The sequence below is a fragment of the Homo sapiens genome, chromosome X (assembly GCF_000001405.40).
Source record: "Homo sapiens chromosome X, GRCh38.p14 Primary Assembly".
NCBI lineage: Eukaryota > Metazoa > Chordata > Mammalia > Primates > Hominidae > Homo > Homo sapiens.
The window spans coordinates 120,810,867-120,815,869 of record NC_000023.11 but is presented as its reverse complement, the minus strand read 5'-3'; the positions used below and the strand labels follow the sequence as shown (position 1 = coordinate 120,815,869).

At 42.3% G+C, this 5,003-nt stretch overlaps 1 annotated feature.

The window, feature by feature from the left end:
* Positions 1,516-2,179: an enhancer, noted in NCBI's record as "OCT4-NANOG hESC enhancer chrX:119947545-119948208 (GRCh37/hg19 assembly coordinates)". NCBI's record gives its function as "activates a minimal SCP1, AML or CMV promoter by ChIP-STARR-seq in naive H9 embryonic stem cells {active_cell/tissue: H9 hESC(naive)}" and the evidence as "EXISTENCE:reporter gene assay evidence [ECO:0000049][PMID:30033119]".

Sequence of the window (5,003 nt, the reverse complement as noted above, 5' to 3'; positions counted from 1 at the left end):
TCTCTTTTTTGTTGTTGTGTCTCTGCCAGGCTTTGGTATCAGGATGATGCTGACCTCATAAAATGAGTTAGGGAGGATTCCCTCTTTTTCCATTGATTGGAATAGTTTCAGAAGGAATGGTACCAGCTCCTCATTGTACCTCTGGTAGAATTTGGCTGTGAATCCATCTGGTCCTGGACTTTTTTTGGTTAGTAGGCTACTAATTATTGCCTCAATTTCAGAGCCTGTTATTGGTCTATTCAGGGATTCCACTTCTTCCTGGTTTAGTCTTGGGAGGGTGTATGTGTCAAGGAATTTATCCATTTCTTCTAGATTTTCTAGTTTATTTGCGTAGAGGTGTTTATAGTATTCTCTGATGGTAGTTTGTATTTCTGTGGGATCGGTGGTGATATCCCCGTTATCATTTTTTATGGCATCTATTTGATTCTTCTTTCTTTTCTTCTTTATTAGTCTTGCTAGCAGTCTATCAATTTTGTTGATCTTTTCAAAAAAACAGCTCCTGGATTCATTGATTTTTTTGAAGGGTTTTTTGTGTCTCTATCTCCTTCAGTTCTGCTCTGATCTCAGTTATTTCTTGCCTTCTGCTAGCTTTTGAATGTGTTTGCTCTTGCTTCTAGTTCTTTTAATTGTGATGTTAGGGTGTCAATTTTAGATCTTTCCTGCTTTCTCTTGTGGGCATCTAGTGCTATAAATTTCCCTCTACACACTGCTTTAAATGTGTCCCAGAGATTCTGCTATGTTGTGTCTTTGTTCTCATTGGTTACAAAGAACATCTTTATTTCTGCCTTCATTTCGTTATGTACCCCGTAGTCATTCAGGAGCAGGTTGTTCAGTTTCCATGTAGTTGAGCGGTTTTGAGTGAGTTTCTTAATCCTGAGTTCTAGTTTGATTGCACTGTGGTCTGAGAGACAGTTTGTTATAATTTCTGTTCTTTTACATTTGCTGAGGACTGCTTTACTTCTAACTATGTGGTCAATTTTGGAATAAGCGCGATGTGGTGCTGAGAAGAATGTATATTCTGTTGATTTGGGGTGGAGAGTTCTGTAGATGTCTATTAGGTCTGCTTGGTGCAGAGCTGACTTTAATTCCTGGTTATCCTTGTTAACTTCCTGTCTCATTCATCTGTCTGATGTTGACAGTGGGGTGTTAAAGTCTCCCATTATTCTTGTGTGGGAGTCTAAGTCTCTTTGTAGTGTTGTACCCAAGCGAGTTAAAGAAATGCCACACTTTGAGACGAATTAAGAGTCCTTTATTAAGCTGGTGGCCAACGAGATGGCTAACGCTCAGAATTCTCTTGGCCATGAGAAAGGGGCTTGATTAACTTTTATACCCAGGTTTAGGAAGGGGAGGGGGACTCAAATGCAATAATTCTACAGAAGTAAAAACATGCAAGAATCAAAAGAAGCAAAATGGTTACAGAGAGATAAACAATTTAAAAGACAAATGGTTACAAAAAGAGCAATGGTACCAGGTGCAAGGTTTTAAATCTTTCATTATAATTAGATATAGGGTCTATACCGGACATGAACTCAAGGTTTTACGTTGTTATCTCCTGGAGAAAAATCCTGGGAACTTCATATATTGTTGGTGCTAGTATCTTAGTTAATTGGGCTCCTTTGAAATGCTGAGGATCTGTTTACACAGGCCAACTCCTTACAGAAGGGGGTTGGGTAAGGAGCCCTTTGTGTCTTGTAAATTAAGGGGTCAATTGGAGTTTGTCCGGCTTTCTCAGCTAGAGAGAGCCTTATTTACATGAGAAGCAAGGCTAGGTGATTAAAGAGTCAAGCAGGATAAAACTCAAAGTAACGAGTTAGAGTAAAAACAAGGTTAGGCATTTCAGTAGGTCTCTAAGGACTTGCTTTATGAATCCGGGTGCTCCTGTATTGGGTGCATATATATTTAGGATAGTTAGCTCTTCTTGTTGAATTGATCCCTTTATCATTATGTAATGGCCTTCTTTGTCTCTTTTGATCTTTGTTTGTTTAAAGCCTGTTTTATCAGAGACTAGGATTGCAACCCCTGCTTTTCTTTTTTTGTTTTCCATTTGCTTGGTAGATCTTCCTCCATCCCTTTATTTTGAGCCTATGTGTGTCTCTACACGTGAGATGGGTCTCCTGAATACAGCACACTGATGGGTCTTGACTCTTTATCCAATTTGCCAGTCTGTGTCTTTTAATTGGAGCATTTAGCCCATTTACATTTAAGGTTAATATTGTTATGTGTGAATTTGATCCTGTCATGATGTTAGCTGGTTATTTTGCTCATTAGTTGATGCAGTTTCTTCCTAGCATCCATGGTCTTTGCAATTTGGCATGTTTTTGCAGTGGCTGGTACCGGTTGTTCCTTTCCATGTTTAGTGCTTCTTTCAGGAGCTCTTGTAAGGCAGGCCTGGTGATGACAAAATCTCTCAGCATTTGCTTGTCTGTAAAGTATTTTATTTCTCCTTCACTTATGAAGCTTAGTTTGGCTGGATATGAAGTTCTGGGTTGAAAATTCTTTTCTTTAAGAATGCTGAATATTGGCCCCCACTCTCTTCTGGCTTGTAGAGTTCCTGCCGAGAAATCCACTGTTACTCTGATGGGCTTCCCTTTGTGGATAACCCGACATTTCTCTCTGGCTGCCCTTAACATTTTTTCCTTCATTTCAACTTTGGTGAATCTGACAATTATGTGTCTTGGGTTGCTCTTCTTGAGGAGTATCTTTGTGGCATTCTCTGTATTTCCTGAATTTTAATATTGGCCTACCTTACGAGGTTGGGGGCGTTCTCCTGGATAATATCCTGCAGGGTGTTTTCCAACTTGGTTCCATTCTCCCCGTCACTTTCAGGTACACCAATCAGACGTAGATTTGGTCTTTTCACATAGTCTCATATTTCTTGGAGGCTTTGTTCGTTTCTTTTTGCTCTTTTTTCTCTAAACTTCTCTTCTTGCTTCATTTCATTCATTTGATCTTCAATCACTGATACCCTTTCTTCCAGTTGATCGAATCAGCTACTGAAGCTTGTGCATGCGTCATGCAGTTCTTGTGCCATGGTTTTCAGCTCCATCAGGTCATTTAAGGTCTTCTCTATGCTGTTTATTCTAGTTACCCATTTGTCTAATCTTTTTTCAAGGTTTTTAGCTTCTTTGCAATGGGTTCGAACATCATCCTTTAGCTTGGAGAAGTTTGTTATTACCGATCGTCTGAAACCTTCTTCTCTCAACTCATCAAAGTCATCCTCCATCCAGCTTTGTTCCATTGCTGGCGAGGAGCTGCGTTCCTTTGGAAGGGAAGAGGCACTCTGATTTTTAGAATTTTCAGCTTTTCTGCTCTGTTTTTTCCCCATCTTTGTGGTTTTATCTACTTTTGGTCTTTGATGATGGTGACGTACAGATGGGGTTTTGGTGTGGATGTCCTTTCTGTTTGTTAGTTTTCCTTCTAACAGTCAGGACCCTCAGCTGAAGGTCTGTTGGAGTTTGCTGGAGGTCCACTCCAGACCCTGTTTGCCTGAGTATCACCAGCGGAGGCTGCAGAACGCAAACATTACAGAACAGCAAATGTTACTGCCTGATCCTTCCTCTGGAAGCTTCATCTCAGAGGGGCACCTGGCTGTATGAGGTGTCAGTCAGCCCCTACTGGGAGATGTCTCCCCGTTAGACTACTCAAGGGTCAGGGACCCACTTGAGGAGGCAGTCTGTCTGTTCTCAGATCTCAAACTCCATGCTGGGAGAACCGCTACTCTCTTCAAAGCTGTCAGACAGGGACGTTTAAGTCTGCAGAAGTTTCTGCTGCCTTTTATTCAGCTATGCCCTGCCCCCAGAGGTGCAGTCTACAGAGGCAGGCAGGCCTCCTTGAGCTGCAGTGGGCTTCACCCAAGTCGAGCTTCCCAGCCACTTTGTTTACCTGCTCAAGCCTCAGCAATGGTGGACCTTCCTCCCCCAGCCTCACTGCCACCTTGCAGTTTGATCTCAGACTGCCGTGCTAGCAGTGAGTGAGGCTCCGTGGGCGTGGAACCCTCTGAGCCAGGCACAGAATATAATCTCCTGGTGTGCCGTTTGCTAAGACCGTTGGAAAAGTGCAATATTAGGGTGGGAGTGTCCCGATTTTCCAGGTACCATCTGTCATGGCTTCCCTTGGCTAGGAAAGGTAATTCCTTGACCCCTTGTGCTTCCTGGGTGAGGCGATGTCCCACCCTGCTTCGGCTCACACTCTATGGGCTGAACCCACTGTCTGATAAGCCCCAGTGAGATGAACCCAGTACCTCAGTTGGAAATGCAGAAATCACCTGTCTTCTGCATGGCTCACGCTGGGAGCTGTAGACTGGAGCTGTTCCTATTCAGCCATCTTGGAACTGGATCCGTTGCTAGAACTTTAAACAAGCCATTGAGAAGGAACTAGAATAATCAGAGAAGGTTGTCTAAAAAAGATGGGTCTTTGGTTGGACCTGACAGCATTGACTAGACTCAATGTGCAGTGGGAATTGGGGAAGGGAGATTCCAGGAAGAAGGATGGAAATAGATATAACACCTTGATGAGTCTAGAAAAGTTTGCCTCGGAAAACAAAGGGCTCTAACTGCCTCTTAAACACAGTTATCAATGTGGTCCCAGTCTTTTTTTGATGTCCACACTGGGGGAAAAGATAGCTAATAGCTAAGCATCTCTGCTCAGGTTAGGGGAAGGGCGTGAGGAGAGAACTACGATGAAAATGAATGCCTCTCTCCACATGTAGATCTGGCAGATTTCCCTCATACCAGGTCACAAGCTAGACTATATAAGGGTTATTGAAACCACTGTTTTCCCCTCAATCCAACATTATGACTCTTACTGGATGACCATACTTAATCTCTCAACTATAAAAAGCAGGTAGCGCCTCCTCCATACTTATTAAATCAGTTAAGATTAAGTTTGGCTGCATTTAACCACAGAAAGTAATAACAACAACAGTGTCTTAAACAAAATGGAAGTTTCTTTTCTTTCTCATGAAAAGAAGTCTGGAGATAGATACAGAGTCCAGAATTGTTGTG